Here is a 19,224-nt window from a genome sequence, read left to right on the forward strand (position 1 = left end):
CTTATCCATATAACTGACCTTCACTACATTTGAAAAACCTGAGAAACTTGCTGTTACTACACTAATCACGGTACCAGTCATTCTCACCTGAAACTACGCTAATCCCATTACCAGTCATTCTCACCTGAAACTACGCTAATCACGCTATCAGTCATTCTCACCTGAAACTTGTATTCCAGTTGACCCAGGTCCTCTCGAAGAACAGAGGGGCAACTGTGCAAAATCTTGGTGACTTGCTGTACCGTGAAAAGGCACTTCTCCTTGAGAAGCCTGACAGTGTCGTTAATGTCCTGCTGGCGCATGGTGAAAATTTCAGGGCAACAGTAAAGCACCCTCTTTAATTTCCCTGCAGAACATTCAAAAAAGGCAAGCATATAATTTCAGGATACTCCAGAAACTCAAGGAGCTAGCTGCACCCAATTTAAGTCCACATTTAAAAACAAACAAGGATCCTCTCCTTCCACAGAGCAAGTGGCAATTTCAGATCTATCTTCCCAGAAGCACCATGGAAATGATACATCTCCCCACTGACTTCCTGACACTCCTCAGACTCACCATCCTTCCCTCCCTATATTCCTGCTTTATTCTGGCCTCCCACCTGAAAGGTGCCAACTTTGTATTTTGGGTCTCCTCTTGCCCTCCTCACTTGGAAAAGAATTTCCCAGGCATTTACTGGAAAGATCAGAGAGTAATATGGGAGAGTAGTTTCCTCCATATTGCTGGTTTGGGTTGATGTTTCCTTCTATAATAAAATAGTCATTGAAGCATTCACAACTAACATTCTCAAGCTGAACTCAATGAAAAGGAGTTCCATCACCATCGTCATCATAACAGTAATAACAATAATAGTAATCATGAGGACACACAACACCAATGCTGACGTCCTGGTTACCAGGGTCACCATATATCTTCTCCAAGCCAGGGCACCTTGAGTGAAAGAGGCCCTATTAAAACCGCACTAACTGGTGTAAACTGGGACTATTCCAGGCCTTCCTAGGGATAGCTGAGCAAAATTCAGTAATGGGAAACTTAAAGTCAACTATTTAAACTGTTAATTAAAATTTTCCTAACATTTGAGTTAGTGATTATCTTAATATGTGAGGAATTTCAGTTTAGGTTTATCTTCATTTCTTAAGGCTGTGCTGAGTTTGCTAATTAATCACCACCACACATAATATATTTAGACTTTTAGATTACACTGTAAGAATCTGTTAAGAAAAATATACAAGGCTACCTTTTTCTTATCTTCTAGAGAAGGAGGCCTGTAGAGATGCTGTGAAATGGTGGATCCTAAACCTTCTACCACTGCCTCAAAAAACATCTTACCAGGAAGAGTCAATAATGCAAAGAAATAATAGTGGAACTCCTCTGGTCAAAGTGGGTAAGGGTCCTTGGAGACCCCCAACTCCTCCAGAAGGCCCTTAAAGAGATTCAAGGAACTTTGAGCATCCTTGAGATGTGAATATTGTTGGGGGCAGGAGTGGGGGATAAATAGAAGGGAAGGCCACTCCACGAGTATCCCAGGAACCTGGCCAGATCTCTCATGTTCCAGAGTAAATCTAAACACTCGACTAGAATCTAAGTCTTTACAAGAGATGTTGGTTTGACATCACATCACAGAGACAGAGCACTAAGACCATTTCATGTTGATTTAAACATCAAATGCTATATGTACACATATTTATCAACATCACATTATCAGCATCAACCCACTGAACACATACCATATGCCCACCACTGCACTAGGTGCTGAAGATCCCACGGTGAACAAGGCAGACAAGAGTCTCTGCCCTGGCACTCAATTTTTTCTTCTAGTCTTAACTCCTCCTCCTTCCCTCTCAAAATGTATTCTGCACAGAAAGCCACTCCTATTCCTCACCTCCAAGCCAAATTATACAGTCCTCTCCAGGAACACTGACATACTCAGAAACCTCCCCTAATCCATCTCACCTTAGGCTGCTCTTTCCCCACCTCTGGCTCCTGTCACACTATATAAAATCTTTTTTTTTTTTTTTGAGACAGCCTTGCTGTCACCCAGGCTGGAGTGCAGTGGCGCCATCTCAGCTCACTGCAACCTCCGCCTCCTGGGTTCAAGCGATTTTCATGCCTCAGCCTCCCAAGTAGCTGGAATTACAGGTGCGTGCCACCAAGCCCAGCTAATTTTTCTATTTTTAGTTGAGTCAGGGTTTCACCATGTTGGCCAGGCTGATCTTGAACCCCTGACCTCAAGTGATCTGCCTGCCTCGGCCTCCCAAAGATCTGGGATTACAGGCATGAGCCACCGCACCCAGCCAAAATCTGCAACTTCTTGTACCTTCTCCAAGCCCAAGCTTTTGCAGGTAACTGGAGCGCTTCCTCATTTGCATAATAGGCAGTTTCAATAACTGGGGACTTTTCTTCAAGACCACACACACAGGCTCTGGATTCAGACCCAAGAGAATAAATTCTGAAATGATGTCCAGCAACTGTTGAAGACTGGCACCTCGCCGTACACTGAGCAATTCATTAATATGGGCATTGCTGAAACCCATGTCCAGGAGGGAACTCATGACCCTCTCTAGCTCCAAGGACCCTTGTACCACAGGAGTCCCCTGCTTCTCAAGGAGGCACTGAACAAGATTCCTCCTGCACTCTGGTTCCTGCACATAGTTATTGGATCTAACACAAGATAACTCCTCAATGACCCCTCCATTGGAGGCTGTAGTCAGTTTGCGCAACAAAGAAGCTGTCGTCCTTCTCTGTTCTCCAAGATGAGGAGTCTGCCTAGCCATACAGGCCCAGGTGAGGGGGATCAGGCGGTGCCAATCAAGGACCTGTAAGACACAGGACCAAAAGACAATTAATTCCTCACTATTCCAGTGTAATGGACACCATAAGACTTCTGAGCCAGAGTACTTACTGCCTTGGTTCCACACAAACATACAATTTTTATAAGCAATCTGCAAAATCCTATCTGAACTTAAGCCTACAGAGAAGGAAGCTCACAAAGAACAGGGTATTTCAAGGCCACAGAGATGGGAGTCAAGCAGGTACAATATTGTTAGCTTTTGCAGCTTTAAGGATGGGAGCAGGGACATGGAGGAAGAGGGAAAAACTATTTCTAGGCCACCTGGTCATGTGTGCCAGAAAAGTCTGGACCTCAGACTACTTTCCAGATTCATGTTCTTAAATTCATTCCACGAGAAGAATCTTGTGGGATACAGAGTTGGCCCTTGAACAACAAGGGTTTGAACTGCTTGGATCCACTTATATGTGGATTTTCTTCCGCCTCTGCCACCCTTGAGACACCAAGACCAAACTCTCCTTCACCTCCTCTTCAGCCTAAAGACCTTATGAGGATCTACTTCCTCTTAATGAATAGTAAATACATTTTCTCTTAGGATTTTCTTTTTGTTTTTTGAGACGGGGGTCTCACTCTGTTGCCCAGGCTGGAGTGCAGTGGTGCAATCATGGCTCACTGCAGCCTTGACTTCCCCAGGCTGAGGTAATCCTCCCACCTCAGCCTTCTGAGTAGCTGGGACTACAGGTGCACACTACACCCTGCTAATTTTTGTATTTTTTGTAGAGACGGGGTTTTGCCCTTATGATTTTCTGAATAACGTTTTCTTTTCTCTAGCTTACTTTAAGAATACAGAATGCAATATATATATATACAAGATATGTGTTAACTGTTTATGTTGTCGGTAAGGCTTCCAGTCATGAGTAGGCTATTAGTAGTTGAGTTTTGGAGGAGTCAAACGTTATACACTGATTTTCAACTGGTGTGGGGGCGGTCTGGTGCCCCTAACCCCTGTGTTGTTCAAGGGTCACAGTAATTAGTCAACTTGCATACACAATTCCAGTTGACCTCAAAAGTCTTCAGTGGTTCAGGCTGGTGCTTAACAAACTATGCACAAATCATCCAGGCACTCTAAGCCAGCAGTCTTCAACGTTTTTGGCACCAGGGACTGGCTTCATGGAAGACAATTTTTCCACAGACTGGTGAGGGGTTTCAGGATGATTCAAGCATATTACATTTGTTGTGCACTTTATTTCTGTTATTTTCACGTTGTAATATAAGATGAAATAATTATACAACTCACCATAATGTAGAATCACTGGGAGCCCTGAGCTTGTTTTCCTACAACCAGGAGGTGCCATCTGGGGTTGATGGGAAACAGTGACAGATCATCGGGCATCAGATTCTCATAAGGAGCGCAACCTGGACCCCTCAAAGGCGCAGTTCACAATAGGGTTCGCGCTCCAGTGAGAATCTAAGGCGGCTGGTCTGACAGGAGGCGGAGCTCAGGCGGTAATGCCAGCGAAGGGAGCGGCTGTAAATACAGTCTGGCTGGCTCACTTGCCGCTCACCTCCTGCTGTGCAGCCTGGTTCCTAATAGGCAAGGGACGGTACCGGGGGTTGGGGAACCCCTGCTCTAAAACCTTCACATCGGTCCCAACCCCTTCTCCAGCGTCATCGATTGTCGCCCTGGGGCCACCCTGCCAAGCCCAAGCTCTGGCTGCTCTCCAGCCTCCCCTGTCCAGATGCTCCCTCCGCCAGGAACACCTGGCAGTCGCTGGGGTCAGCGGGCGCGGCCCGTGGAACTGGGCTCAAGCCTAAAGACCTCTATGCTGATTCCGCTTCCTCTTAATGAAAAGTACATGTTATCTTCCTTGTGAAGTTCAAACTCTTGTTCAACAGTCAACTCAGGCCGGGCGCGGTGGCTCACGCCTGTAATCCCAGCACTTTGGGAGTTCGAGGCGGGTGGATCACCTGAGGCCAGAAGTTACAGACCAGACTGGCCAACACGGTGAAACCCCGTCTCTACTAAAAATACAAAAATTAGCCAGGCATGGTGGCGGGCGCCTGTAATCCCAGCTACTTGGGAGGCTGAAGCAGTAGAATTGCTTGAACCCGGGAGGCGGAGGTTGCAGTGAGCCGAGATCGCGCCATTGCACTCCAGCCTGGAGACAGAGCGAGACTTTGTCTCAAAAAAAAAAAATGTCAACTCTATATCCCACAATAATTGAGCAGAGCCACGGGTCCAGGATGCCAAAACCAGGTCAGCGTGCACGGACCTCCGGGAGGGCTCCACGACCTGGCCGTGAAACACTCGGCGGCCGCGGTTCCTCTGCGTCGCTGCCCGCCCGCCTGCGACCCGGAGAAGCCCGCGCGCCCAGCTCGAGCTTACCTGACGGCCGAACGCAGCCATAGCGCGGAGAAGATGGCAGCAGTTACGGCGCCGGAAGCAGCGGTCCTCCCCCGTCCTTCACTTCCGGCCCCCGGTCCGTCACCGACGCCGTTCCCAGCGCCAGCGCGGTGTGGTGGATCGTGATTCCGGCCCGGAGCTGTGCTGAGCGTTCACGGCCCCGCGGGGCTCAGGTGTCCCGGGGCCGCCCCTTAGAAAGCCGGAAGGCCGGAGTCGCGCCCGTCACCGTGCCGCCGCCTCTGCCGCGGCCTCAGCCTTCGGGGGCCTCGGTGTCCGGTTGTTCCCGTTGCACTGCCGTGTCCCGTTTCGCAGAGCTCTGGGCCGCGTGAACGAATGGGTCGTCCTGGCCCATACTTGTGTTTCAGATGACCTGAGAATTCCTCTCAAGAGTACAGGTAGAGGGGAACTGGTTCCTTGCTTCGGGAACTTCACCCGAGAGCGCAGAAATCCTTCCCGAGGCAGGAAAAATGGATTCCGTTCCATGTAGAGATATTTAAGATTTTATTGTGTAAAAATCTGTATTCAGCGTGAACACCGGGGCCACCTACGCACAAAAAGAAGTCTTTACCGCTTTTCTTTCTTTTTACTCTCAGCCAGTGGAAGATGAGAATTTGCCGTTTTTAAAAGACCCAAGTAAAATGACAGGAATTACGGCACATTTCCCTTTATAAGCAAGAGCCTTCCCAACTTCGAGGTCTGGTTCCCTCTTAGGATGAAATATAGTAAAGTTTTAGCCCAATGTGTATTCATTCTTAAATTTCCTCTCTCGACCTAAGAGCGTAGGCATCTTTCACAAGGTGATGCTTGTGAAGAATAAAAAGGTGTGCTTTCTCAGCTGCCTAAATCCTGCCACCAAAGCCTTAATTTATAAGCATTTCTTGTTTTATCTACTTCATTCTGGACTGACATAAAGGATTTGATTCTTGCATGGGCACACATTTACATATCTGCTTTGCGCCAGGCATGGAGTGGGGTGCCAAACAATTTATGTAAAACTGTCTTTTGACAAAAGGATTATGTCAAAGAAAAGGAAGGTTCTAATCCGTGTAGAAACTAAAGAATTGGTTGCTTTGGCAGAGTGCAGTGGCCCACGCCTGTAATCCCAGCACTGTGAGAGGCTGAGGTGGGGGGGATTGCCTGGGCTCAGGAGTTCAAGACCAACCTGAGCAACATAGGAAAATCCTGTCTCTACAAAAAATAAAAAATTAGCCGGGAGTAGTGGCGTGCACCTGTAGTCCCAGCTACTCAGGAGCCTGAAGTGGGAGGATCACTTGAGTCCAGGAGGTTGAGGCTGCAGTGAGCCATGATTGCACCACTGCACTCCAGCCTGCGTAACAGAGCAAGACCTTGTCTCAAAAAACAAAAGGAAAAAAAAAATTGGTTGCCTTTGTTGTTTTTTATAATGTAATTTTCTTCTCAAAATACTCAACTGTCAACATCTCACAATAAATTGTGTTAATGCTACACCAAAAGCCTAAGAAAATCCCATGAGCCACCCCAACTCCCTGGAAAGAATCAAGGAACCTGAACAGTTTGTCTAGCTCTAGAAATAAAATGACAGCTGGGACATGGGGATTACTATGAAAAATTGACATGAGCCCGGGTGTGGTGGCTCACGCCTGTAATCCCAGCACTTTGGGAGGCCGAGGTGGGCAGATCACCTGAGGTCAGGGGTTTGAGACCAGCCTGGAAAACATGGTGAAACCCCATCTCTACTAAAAATACAAAAATTAGCCAGGCATGGTGGTGGGCACCTGTAGTGTCAGCTACTCAGGAGGCTGAGGCAGGAGAATCACTTGAACCTGGGAGGCGGAGGTTGCAGTGAGCCAAGATCACGCCATTGTACTGCAGCCTGGGCAACAAAAGCGAAAGTACTTCTCAAAAAAAAAAAAAAAAAATTTGACATCACCTTCAGTCTTGTGTGAAAACTTTGCTCTCTCGAACCATACTTTAAAAATATGCAGTGGGTTGGGCACGGTGGCTCATGCTTGTAATCCCAGCACTTTGAGAGGCTGAGATGGGTGGATCACCTGAGGTCAGGAGTTCGAGACCAGCCTGGCCAATATAGTGAAACCCTGCCTCTACTAAAAATACAAAAATTAGCCAGGTAACGTGATAACGCACACTTGTAATCCCAGCTACTCGGGAGGCTGAGGCAGGAGAATTGCTTGAACCCAGGGAACGGAGGTTGCAGTGAGCCGAGATTGCACCATTGCACTCCAGCCTGGGTGACAGAGCAAGATTCCATCTTAAAAAAAAAAAAAAAAATGGAGTGGAAAAATTGTCAGCCTCAGCCTCAGAACTTTCCTCTCTGGGTTCTTTCTGCAAAGAACGTTTGCAAAATACCAGACCTTCCACTGCCATGAAGTCAGATGAGCTTTAATTATTTTTTCTTATAAAGAAGTAACAGTTCTTAGAAAGCTCAGACTATGCATTCTCAACCCATTAAACACCTGTCTGCAAACACCATTGTGGCCGAACGCAGTGGCTCATGCCTGTAATCCCAACATTTTGGGAGGCCGAGGCGGGCGGATCATGAGGTCAGGAGTTTGAGACCAGCCTGGCCAACATAGTGAAACCTCGTCTCTACTAAAAATACAAAAATTTAGCCAGGCGTGGTGGTGGGCACCTGTAATCCCAGCTACTTGGGAGGCTGAGGCAGAATTGCTTGAACCTGGGAGGCGGAGGTTGCAGTGAGCTGAGATCGCACCATTGCACTCCAGCCCAGGCGACAGTATAAGACTCTGTCTCTAAATAAATAAACAAACAAACAAACACCATTCTATAACATCCTCTGTGTTATAAGCACCATAAACACTACAAGGTAGGGGTTCTTAAAACATCAGAAAACTCTTTGAATTCTGAAGAGTGAACATCACTGACTTTAATACACACCTGTAAAACCCTTGTACCTTGAATGTCCCTGATAGAGGAGGGTCCTCCCCCACCAACTCCATCAGTCACTTGTGGTGGCAGCGAGGCTCAGGCAGCACTTTCTGAAGAAAGGGATGGCAATAGCCCATATCCTACTAGATGGGACTAAAATTAACTCTGATCATCCCAAAACAGTTGAGTGCCTCCTAAATAACCACTAGAAATAGCTCAGAACCACGCAGGAGGCAGCCTGGCTCCCAGGCAGCTTCCAGAGGGTTCTGGGCAGGAGTCTCAGAATGTGGAAAAACCGTCTGCAAGTGATGACATGTGGGAAAAGGGTAGGGGTTTAGGTTTTTGGTTTTTTTCCTACTGTCTCAGCAGGGGAAAAAAATGAAAGGTTCTGCTCTCACCTCTAGCTATTCCCTCCTCTCTAACACAGACATGAAATAAAACAATCCTAAGTACTTGACCTAGCCAAGTCTGTCTGAGGGGGATGGACTGGAGTCTAAGGGAGGGAAGCAGCCAGTTGAGTATCTGACAAACACCCTGGAACCTGAGCAGCTCGGAGGAATACAGGGCTGGAGCCCCTCACACAGACCAGAGGTGGGGGCTGGGCCAGGAAGCCCCTCATGTGGACAGAGGTGGGAGCTGGCTGGCCATGGGATATTTGGGGACTGCTGGCAGTGAGCCAGCCACGTGTTTGACAGCAGAGTCTTGCTACAGACAGAAGGGAGGTCCCTGAGGAAGCCACCCTCCCCCGTCTTACCAGATGGAGCAAGCTTCAGAGCCCTAGGCCCACCCCTGGCAGGGCCTGCTTGTAAAAGGAACCCCAGAATGGCCAAGGCTAGACTTCTCTCCAACTGTGGCAAGTGGGGTGCACACATGGAAAAATGAGGAAACCAGGTATTTCTCACACTTAGCACACGGGAACAGTTCACAACATCCAAGTCAGGATAACTGTTTACTAACAAAGGTGCTTTAATTTGAAAAGCATTTGAGGAAATAAATTAATGAAATAGTCTGGCCATTTGACTAACCAGTTCTACAAATTTCACATATCCGTCACTCAGATGAGCATATACCAAGTCAGAGGAAACAAAACATGCACATATACAAAAGTAGAAAGAGAAAACACTCATGCCTTCAGAAGTTCACAAATTAAAAGCCCTTTAATAATATAAAACAGTTGAACACTGGAATGTTTTTTTCTAGGTCATGAAAAAAGTGAATTCCAAATCTATGTAATAAATCTAAAATAATACAGCATCACTGTCTTCTGTTCTGGTGTTTATCAAACCTGCACATGAGTTTTTAGAAGGTGAATTGGGGATGCTTCAGAATGTATTTTCTCCAAACAGATGGAGCCTGAAAACTGTGTGATTTTCCAAACCAAGTGGAGAAAAGCAGGAAGAAATTGGTGTTTAGCTGGTCAGCAGACGGGGATCCCCGGGATGCAAACAGCCTTGGCCATTAGGAGCCTCGCCTGGAACGGGGCCCCCACAAAGCTCCTGAGCCTGGGCCACATCACTCAGGCTCCTGTTCCCCATCTCCAGGCTCGCAGCGGACAGAACTCCACTTTCTGAAGAAACAAGAAGGTAACTGTATCACGTGCTAACAACTTAAGGTTCTAAAATACTTTGCTTCTCACTTGAAGAAGTCCTAGAACAAAAGCCTAAGGTGAGGCCCTCAGAAATCCAACTGGCAATGTCCCGGAAGTACAGATCCTGCCAAGGTGGGGATCTAAGCCCAGGGCCATCAACCGCAGCTTGGTCCAAATGCTCTGAGCAGTGGTTTTGGCTCTGTGGCCAGAGCCTTGTCTGAAGAGCCCTCGGCCCCGCCGGCTGCTAGAGAATCACTCTCAGCATCTGTGGCCTCATCCTCCCCTTCGGCCCAGTCAGACCATCACCAGCTGCATTCCTCAAACCATCTTTGAGGGTTCCGACCCCTTCTGCCAGGAGCTCCCATGACACCTGCCCACCCTCCAAGGTCCAAAGCCACACCCTGAACCCCAGTGGTGTCCAGAGGCCTCGGGACAGAATCAAACCCCCTCTCACAGGTGACAGGTCAGCTATAGGCCCTGACATTTGTGTCCAAGACAGCATGGGGGAGAGAGCCTCCTTTTCCTCCTTTTGACCTAGGAAGGCAGCCTGGGGACCTCGTTATTCCAAGTGAAGTCATGTGGGGTGGAGGGATGCTGAGAAGCCTCACCTGGCTTGTTTACTCGAAACACCTCTTCCCATGTATAGTCAGCAAGATTCACAGGCTGTGTTACCCACGGGTCTGTCACCAGCTTCTCCAAGGTGGTGCGTCTCTCAGGGACTGGCTGCAGCAGCCCAGACACAAGGCTCATGAGTTCTGGGGACACAAAGAACACAGATGGTAGGTCCAGATTGGGATGAAGTGGAGCACATCTCAGATTCCTGGGTGCTCACCACCCCCCCGCAGAGCCTCTGACTGGGCAGGTGGCGGCCCAGGAACCTCTAGTGCAGGGCCCAGCTGTGCTTGGACAGAAGCTGCAGGAAACATTCATTGCCTCTGAAATGAAAGCTTGGAGTTCAAGATGCCATCCCACTCAACCAAAATCCAGGTGGTGCAGAGGTTCCTAACTGCTCTATTCTCAGGGGCTCTGGCAATGCAGAGCTGTGAATAACGCAGGGTTAACATGACAGGTGAGGGGATGCCAGCACAAGCTGAGAGAAGCCCCCAGCCTTGCATCTGGATTCGGGCCCCAGTTCCTTTAACCATGTAGGCACCAAGTCAACAGGGCCACTTGGAGCCTCCCTGTCCTGACTGCAAGTGTGTTTCTCACAAGAGGGCCTCTAAGATCCAAAGAGGAACATTAACAAAAACTAAATTATCAAGATGTTTTAAAGTCATATGCAAATTATTTGATGAATAGAAAAGAAACAAATGAGACTGTTGATATGGACAGAGATACACTGAGGAATGAGGAAATGGGAAAAAAAAGTGGCTGGTCTCTAAGGACAGTGTCGACTGTCTACCACTTGCAGCTCACGCTCACCTTTGGACACCAGGTATGGCGGGTGTATGGCAGCCTCCACGGTCTCCTCCAGCTCACAGAAGGGGTTCTCCTCAAAGACCAGCGTGTACAGAGTGACTCCCAGAGACCACATCTCCAGCTCCGGCCCTCTGTAGCTGTGAGGAGGAGGAGGCATCAGGACGCCACGGCACTCAGCGCAGGCTTGCCAAGCCCGCCCATGGGAAGCACCATGGCCCTTCCCGACCAGCACACAGGCCAGGCAGTGGTTTCCCAAGAGGAGGGTCACTCCACCCCTCAAACACGCCCTCCATTTCCACGCACTTCTGCCCCAGGCCAGCCAGCAGGCCATGTGCCAGGAGTGGAGAGGCCATCGGGCAGCTCCGAGGCTAATCAGGAACTTCCTTGTGGACACCAACCACAAGACGTGTCTACCAGAGGGGGGAGCGGGGGGAGGGCTTCCTGGAGGAAGCAGAGTACACGTCCATTGGCTTTGCTGAGGGCCACGGGAGCTGCAGGCCACTTCAGAACAGGGTCACGTGCCCTTCAGACGTGATCAGGCATGTTCACGATCTTGGTGTGAACGGGCTTGGTGTGACCATGGACACACATGCCCTTTAGGAAGATGGCTGTGGCGACGATGTGAAGGGTGCTGCAGGACGAGACTGAACAGGGAAAAACACCGAAGGATGAAAGCAAACAAGAAGGACGTGGTGAAGGTGGGTGTTCACACAGTGGGCCAAATGGAGGAGCAAGCTTCAGGGAGAAGACACCCAAAGGACTATTGTTACTTCCTGTCGCCGTAAACATCCTCATCCACGCTACCATTTATTTCCTGTCACCGTAAACATCCTCATCCACGCTACCATTTATTTCCTGTCACCGTAAACATCCTCATCCACGCTACCATTTATTTCCTGTCGCCGTAAACATCCTCATCCACGCTACCATTTATTTCCTGTCACCGTAAACATCCTCATCCATGCTACCATTTATTTCCTGTCACCGTAAACATCCTCATCCATGCTACCATCTATTGGGTACCTAGAGATGCCAATGCTGTACCAGCATTTTACATGGCTTAACCCAAATCCTCACAACAACCTAGCAAGATAAATATGACTTTCATTTTGCACAGAAGAGCAAGGCTTGGTGAGGTGAAGTTGCTGCCAAGCACGCACCAGAGCCAGGTCACCAGCACCCACAGCCCTGCCCCTGCACTGGCCAAGGCCATGCGTCTCCAGGTCCGCAGCTGGGGGTCTGTCCCCAGAAGAGGTCTGGGAAGCAGCAGCCTGTTCTCAGAACCAGAATTAGACAAGGGAGCCAAGAGAAACCACAGCAGTGAGAAGAGTGGCACGGACAGAGCCCCGGGCTGGACTCGGAGAAGAGGGGCTGGGAGGGAGGGGAGGGGAGGGGAGGGGAGGGCTCAAGAGGGCAGATCACAGAGGCCAGAGCAGCAGCGTGGGTGAAAGTCGGGCCCCCAGGCTGAGTCAGCAGGGTGGTGGGGTGGCTAGCACAGACCGCAGGGAAGCTGAGCGGACGGATGAGAGCTGTAGGGGCTAGAGCAAGAAAATCAGTTTCAGCAGTTTTTGTTTTTGTGTTGTTTCTGTTTTTTAGAGAGATTTCAAGATGTTTAGAAGCTGAAGAGAAATATCCAATAGAACAGAACAGAGGTTGGCAAACTTTTCCTGTGAAGGGTCAAATAGTAAATATTTCAGGTTTTGGGCCACATGGTCCCCACTGCAACTCAACTCTGTCATGTAGGACAAAGGCAGCTACAGACGACACATAAGCAAATGAGCACAGCTCCATTCCAATAAAACTTTATTTATAGAAACAAGAGGCAGGGGATGTTTGCACACACGTTTGTAGCAGCATCACGAACAACATAAAGATGGAAGCAAAAGGTAGAAGCAACACAAATGTCCACTGACAGATGAATAAGTACAGCATATCCAGAAAACGCAATCAAATTCAGCCTTGAAAAGGAAGATGCTGGCACAGGCCACAACATGGATGGACCTTGAGGACTTTATGCAAAGTGAAATAAGCCAGTCACCAAAAGGCAAATGCTGTACGATTCCACGTATAGGAGGTCCCTAGAGTAGTCAGATTCATAGAGAAAATAGCAGAATGGCAGCTGCCAGGGCCTGAGGAAGGGGAAGAGGGACCTAAGGCCACAGTCTGCCGACCCTGGAGTAGACGGAGATGAAGATGACAAGACAGAAGCCAGGGCCCTGAGGATGGGATTGAGAATAAGAACTCAGAAACCCTTTCATCCAGGGAGATGGGGAGAGGACGCAGGAGGGAGGAAGGAGCTCCTGAGAGGAGGCCTGCAGCCCCGCAGGCCCAGGAGCAGTACACCGCTCACAGCCAGAAAGGAGAGGCCAGGAGGCAGGGCAGAGCCCTGGCAGGGCAGGCGCTCAGGGAGAGGGTGGGAGCCACAGCTCTGGGAGGCAGGGCCAAGGTGGCCAAGCAGCACTGAGCTCTCGCCCAGGTTGGATCCCCCCTGCACCCTCCCCAAGCTTCACGGCCTGGGTACAGGAAGGGGTGACAAGCCATGCAGCAGGCATCATGGGTCAGTGGACAGGGGACAGGCAGTTCCCTCCAGCACGGAGGGCACGACAACCACTGCAGGGCAGGCAGAGCCCACCAGCGCCCACCAGGCTCTAGGGCAACCAAACTAGATCTGAAGGGAAACTCCACGGCCCTTCTTAGACCAACCCCCTTCGATATTTCACGCTGTTTGGTGGCTCTGAAGATGCATGGAGGTTCTAGCGGGGAAGAGCCCATTTTCACTTCCTCCATACTCTGCACACAGGGCATCCAGGCCCAGAAGAGCTCAACGCTGCCTGGCATGGAGAGGTTGGCGCAGGCTGAGGCTGCTGGGCTCTGAGGACTCAGGGTGTGCAGCCTGGAACCTGCACCTCCTAATGAAATATGGCCTAAGCAGACACCAGGATCCAGAGCCCAGCCACTCCTCTCCCCAATGCTGAGGCCCTCCCGAGAGCCCAAGGCACGGCATGGAGCTCGTGCGTGACTGCGAGCAAATGCCCTGGCCTCAGGCCACCAGGTCAGGTGCAGCAGGTCTGTGAGGGACCCCGTGTGCCTCTCCTGTGGGGGCAGCATCAGCTTCCCTCCTAGAGAACCACATGGAGCAGATATGGGCGGTGCAGCAGAGCACTGCAGCAGAGGGCCAGGAGGGTCCAAGCAGTGCTGTGATCATCCGACTCTCTAACCATGAACTCACCTAGAGATGCATTCCAACCACACCTCTCTAAAATACATGTAGGTGTTAGTGGAAAACACCTGCTATCTATTTCTGACTTAATAAAGTCTATTTCATACACATAGACACATTTGGTTTACAGGCAGATGAGACAGTGATCGGGCACGTCAGCAGACAGTCTCCACTCAGGCCCTACAAATGAACCACAATCTTCCTTTCCGTTTTGCTTTCCTCTCTAAAGTCCCCCGAGAGGAGGCCCTGCCCAGGCCGGCCCCCGACTCACAGGCTCCCCAGACTGCAGAGATGCAAACTCAGCCACACACCCAAGGACGCCGCTTCTCCCCACAGCAGAGCAGAGGCTCAGCTGGCCCACTCCAGTGACATGGAGTCTGGCTGGTCAGCGACAGCCCCTCCAGCCAAGGGCTCCACCTTCAGCACGAATCCTCTGCCTCGGGACTTTCTCTAGTGCTTGATTTCTTGTATGGTCAGCCCCGCGGTATTTTATTGAAATAGATATTATTCCTGTCATCAAAATAAATAAACCTAACTAAAAAGAATCCTCTTCACTTATTTGAAGAGTGCCATTTTGGGGGACTCTTCAATATTTTTCTTGGCTTTTTATTATATGAAACTCCAAACAAATAAAAGCTGAGAAAATAAAATTATTAACTCCTATATCCATCGCCCAGTGCCTTTGCCCAATATGACCTTGCCTGCCTGCCCACTTACTTTCCAGCATATCACCCTGACCACTCAACACTCATCACAAAGAGGCACAAAGGAAGCCATTTTCCCACCCAAAATCAAGCCACCCTCAGGGTCCTGACAGAGGACACGAGGACGGGCCGCACCGCAGCCGCATACGTACGGATTCCCCATGAGAACTTCCGGTGCACAGTACTCGATGGTCCCACAAAAAGTATAAAATAATTTTCCCCTTTCCAAGTAGGCGGCCGAGCCAAAGTCTATCAGCTTGATTGTGAAGTCCTCGGCGATCACGATGTTCTCATCCTTGATGTCACGGTGGATGATGTCCTTCAAGCGCAGGTATCCCACTGCTGACACTAGCTGGAATCAGGAGGCCAGAGGGGGCTTTTTAAAAAAGCAATTCAACTAAAATATGCATTTAAAATAAACTGGAACAAAAAAAAACACAAAGAAAAAATAAACCTCCGACTCATAATGAACTGGGGACAGGAAAGATTTTTCAATGCTGAAGATATGATTGGAAGCAAACAGGAAACAAAGCCCTTCAGGAGGCGTGTTCACTGGGGATGGCCACGTTAGCCGGCAAGGTGGCAACATCAATGAGACTCGTGAGTTCTGTTTGCTGCTGAGAAAAGCTTCCCAGCAGACACTCGCCCCCACCAACGCACACCATGCCTATTTCAGGAGGAAAGACAGGCCACAAAGCCACAGCTCAAAGACACTCATGGTGGGCAAGTGAATGGGTGCAGGTTTGGTGTTAAGTGGGAAGTACCCAAGAGAAAGCACCAAGTCGATAACCTCAGCTCACAGGGAGGGAAAGTGACTTGCCCAGAGTTCAGGCAGCAATTTGGGGCAGAGCTGGGAGCACAGCCTCAGTGGCTTCTCAGAGAGCAGCATGACGTATCAGCCATCCTTTCCCCAAATGTGTGGCTACTCAATGATGCAGACTTAAAGCAGTTACACTGGAAACGGGCTTCGTTCCCACGGAGGTGCAGCTGCAGTGCTCCACTGCCTGCCCACTCTGCCTCTCCAATAACAGAGGCCAGCAACATCGGCCTTTCAGTTTAGCTCAACTAGGATGAATTAAACGTCTGACTGTCATAATTTGGACACCCATTATACCAATCAACTTAGTGACTTCATGGATGTATCATGTTGATCTTTTGAGACAAATTTATATTTACAAATGAGTATCTTTCAAATCAGGAGCAATAATCACAGGTTAGCTAAGCCCGATTAACTTACATTTAATAAATATACGCATATTTATACACATATATACAAACATATACATACCTGCATATTTATATATACATACCTGCATATTTATATATACATACCTGCATATTTATACATACATTTAGATACATACATGTGCACATATATACACACCTGCATACACACGTGTGCATACCTATACACATAACATATACTTGTACATAGGTACACACATAAATACACATATACAAGCATGCATGCATACATACTTACATATATATGTAGATATATACAAATCAGTCAGGATCCAATCAGGAGACAGAAATCACACATGAACTTGAACATGGAAAGTTTCATTAAGATTTATTAACTAGTACTGAGAGATTAACCACAAAGGGCTAAAGAGCGACTTGAAGAAAGCTGCTCTTCCTGCAGATGCTTCTGTGCCCTGGACTGGCCATGCTGCCCTGGAGCGGCCTGAACCAAGCCAGGGCTGTTCCCAGGCCCAGCTCCCCGACCCCGCTGCTGAGCAGGTCCTGATGAATCTGGAGCTGACAGGCAATGCCCTGAGAACCAGCATGATTCCTACATACATTGATGTGCGATCATATACTTTATAAAATTGTGCATCTGTATTTACATAGAATAACATTTATGTCTATATATTTACAAAAGGGGTAGAGATTCTTTTGGCAAAAATTTTAGAGTATAAACACCATAATTATGTGTCTCACTAGCCCCAGAATTAACAGCTGTCAGGCAGCAGCTTTTAACAAGCGACCCTCAACATAACCTCATACAGATACTCTGTTTGCTGTAAAAAGTTTCAGAAACAAGTGTTGGCCACAAACTAAAGGGAGGACGTCACCTTCCAACACAGGAAGAGGGAGAGAGGTGACCCTTTTTTGCAGAACCATAATATCTGAAACTTACAAGTAGGAGCCTGAGAAACTAAACTTCGGAAACCCAACAACCCGAGAGTGTGTAGCTTTAAGGAAGAAATGTTGATTCACGGAAGCTGTCATTAGAAATCGAGTTGTCCCCAGCAAACAATCCAAGAGCAAATGTGAGTTGTCTACACAGCCCTTTGCTGGTATTTCTCCAGTTCTTCTGGGGGAGCTGGGAGCAGTACAGGATGGAACCGCCACCCTCTCCTTAAAACCCAACACGAGTTACCGTTTCTTCCCCCTGTCCCTCTGCTAGGGTGCCTTCCTATTTGGATCATCACTCTCCCATTCCAATAAAATAATGGCCGAAGTTCAATATGTAATTAGACACGAAACAGATCAAGACAAATACTTACTGAAAAGTGAGAATGTCAGGATCTCAGTTTTGCTGGTTAATTACCTCAACAGCCACCATTTAGTGGGCACTTACAACCTGCAGGCCGCTGTGCCGCACACATGCCTTTGAGACGCTCTCTGGCTGCATCCTAACCCTTACTGGTTAATTTTTATGATTGTTGTGGATATTTTATGTATGTAAATAAACCTTAACCATTAAACATACTTTCTCAGTCATTCCAGGACTGTATCTGGCCTCATCCTTCCTTCCCAACCTCACTTTCTCTACTTCAATCATAGAATTTTCTTCTCAAAATATATATCCTACTCCATGAAATCCCCACACAGAAGGCTAGATCCAGCTCAGAGAGAGAACCGAGTATGGATCACTGATCTTTGCAGCCACCGGACCCAGGCACCCAGGCCTGCGTTCACACTAACACGGCTCTGGCCTGCTCTCACTTGTCGGAAGATGTAGCTCGCCAGGGGCTCATCCAGCCTGGGGTGGCGGTCGATGAAAGCGAAGAGGTCTAGGCCGGAGCCGTGCTTCTCCATCACAAGCTGGAAGAACCCTTGGTTTTCAAATATATCCAATACCTAGGAAGAGACAAAGCCAAGTCCAACTCTACCAAAACATCTTCAAGTCAACAAATTGAAGACATTTGACATGAGCCAAGTTAGGGTATCTCTGAAGAGGAAACCATCACCTTGATGATATTGGCGTGCTCCACCCTGGATAGAATTGCGATCTCTAAAGTAACTTTCCCAAGTTTGGGATCCTCAATCCAACAATCCTCCAAGACCTTCTCCTTCTTAATAAACTTCACCACCACCTGTGAGGAAGACAGAGCGTAGTGGAAATAGCTGGAGCCAGTCCTCAAGCATCCCATTGCACCAGGGCCACCCAGTCCTCAAGCATCCCATTACACCAGGGCCACCCGGTCCTCAAGCATCCCATTACACCAGGGCCACCTGGTCCCCAAGCATCCCATTACACCAGGGCCACCCGGTCCCCAAGCATCCCATTACACCAGGGACACCCAGTCCTCAAGCATCCCATTACACCAGGGACACCCGGTCCTCAAGCATCCCATTACACCAGGGCCACCCAGTCCTCAAGCATCCCATTACACCGGGGCCACCCGGTCCCCAAGCATCCCGTTACACCAGGGGCCACCGGTCCTCAAGCATCCCATTACGCCAGGGCCACCCGGTCCCCAAGCATCCCGTTACACCAGGGGCCACCCAGTCCTCAAGCATCCCATTACGCCGGGGCCACCCGGTCCCCAAGCATCCCGTTACGCCAGGGGCCACTCGGTCCTCAAGCATCCCGTTACACCAGGGGCCACCATCAGTCCTCAAGCATCCCATTACGCCGGGGCCACCTGGTCCTCAAGCATCCCATTACACCAGGGGCCACCATCGGTCCTCAAGCATCCCATTACGCCAGGGCCACCCAGTCCTCAAGCATCCCATTACACCAGAGACACCCAGTCCTCCAGCATCCCATTACACCAGGGACACCCAATCCTCAAGCATCCCATTACACCAGGGCCACCCAGTCCTCAAGCATCCCATTCCACCAGGGCCACCCAGTCCTCAAGCATCCCATTACACCAGGGCCACCATTGGTCCATGCGGCAGACACATCCCCTGCATTTACCTCCCCTAAGTCCCACGGACATGAAAGAAGAAACAAAGTGATAAACGCCTGCAGCACAAGGA

The 19,224-nt window shown here is 49.1% G+C and overlaps 2 protein-coding genes across 21 annotated transcripts in view, besides 4 other annotated features; both read right to left on the reverse strand.

Moving 5' to 3' along the window:
* MTERF4 (mitochondrial transcription termination factor 4) overlaps positions 1–5,206 on the reverse strand; it is a 59,702-nt gene extending 54,496 nt beyond the window's left edge. For 6 of the 13 annotated variants that reach the window (NR_138463.2, NR_138464.2, NR_028049.2 and 3 more), the window contains exons 1-3: positions 5,172–5,206; positions 2,315–2,813; positions 162–346 (exon numbers count right to left, since the gene is read on the reverse strand). Coding sequence is in view for 6 of the 13 variants with exons in the window: in NM_182501.4 (NP_872307.2) it covers positions 162–346; positions 2,315–2,813; positions 5,172–5,192 (705 nt within the window). In the remaining 7 variants the exon portion in view is untranslated. The remainder of the gene's footprint in view (positions 1–161; positions 347–2,314; positions 2,814–5,171) is intronic. The other 7 variants (XM_047443428.1, XM_047443427.1, XM_047443429.1 and 4 more) reach the window with 3 other exon arrangements.
* Positions 4,453–4,992: an enhancer, noted in NCBI's record as "H3K27ac-H3K4me1 hESC enhancer chr2:242040949-242041488 (GRCh37/hg19 assembly coordinates)". NCBI's record gives its function as "activates a minimal SCP1, AML or CMV promoter by ChIP-STARR-seq in primed H9 embryonic stem cells {active_cell/tissue: H9 hESC(primed)}" and the evidence as "EXISTENCE:reporter gene assay evidence [ECO:0000049][PMID:30033119]".
* Positions 4,993–5,532: an enhancer, noted in NCBI's record as "H3K27ac-H3K4me1 hESC enhancer chr2:242041489-242042028 (GRCh37/hg19 assembly coordinates)". NCBI's record gives its function as "activates a minimal SCP1, AML or CMV promoter by ChIP-STARR-seq in primed H9 embryonic stem cells {active_cell/tissue: H9 hESC(primed)}" and the evidence as "EXISTENCE:reporter gene assay evidence [ECO:0000049][PMID:30033119]".
* The window catches only part of PASK (PAS domain containing serine/threonine kinase), a 44,249-nt gene continuing 34,042 nt past the window's right edge, over positions 9,018–19,224 (reverse strand). For 3 of the 8 annotated variants that reach the window (NM_001252120.2, NM_001252122.2, NM_015148.4), the window contains 6 exons: positions 18,207–18,332; positions 17,962–18,096; positions 15,159–15,358; positions 11,086–11,219; positions 10,272–10,418; positions 9,018–9,642 (listed from right to left, as the gene is read on the reverse strand). In NM_001252120.2, the coding sequence (NP_001239049.1) occupies positions 9,485–9,642; positions 10,272–10,418; positions 11,086–11,219; positions 15,159–15,358; positions 17,962–18,096; positions 18,207–18,332 (900 nt within the window). In that variant the 3' untranslated portion in view covers positions 9,018–9,484. Of the gene's footprint in view, positions 9,643–10,271; positions 10,419–11,085; positions 11,220–11,385; positions 11,818–15,158; positions 15,359–16,225; positions 18,097–18,206; positions 18,333–19,224 lie in introns of those variants that run through there. The other 5 variants (NM_001252124.2, XM_011510834.2, NM_001252119.2 and 2 more) reach the window with 4 other exon arrangements.
* Positions 13,998–14,297: an enhancer, noted in NCBI's record as "active region_17414". NCBI's record gives its function as "activates an Ori minimal core promoter by ATAC-STARR-seq in GM12878 lymphoblastoid cells {active_cell/tissue: GM12878}" and the evidence as "EXISTENCE:reporter gene assay evidence [ECO:0000049][PMID:35858748]".
* Positions 14,568–14,617: an enhancer, noted in NCBI's record as "active region_17415". NCBI's record gives its function as "activates an Ori minimal core promoter by ATAC-STARR-seq in GM12878 lymphoblastoid cells {active_cell/tissue: GM12878}" and the evidence as "EXISTENCE:reporter gene assay evidence [ECO:0000049][PMID:35858748]".

This window comes from Homo sapiens, chromosome 2 (genome assembly GCF_000001405.40).
Source record: "Homo sapiens chromosome 2, GRCh38.p14 Primary Assembly".
Classification (NCBI taxonomy): Eukaryota; Metazoa; Chordata; class Mammalia; order Primates; family Hominidae; genus Homo; species Homo sapiens.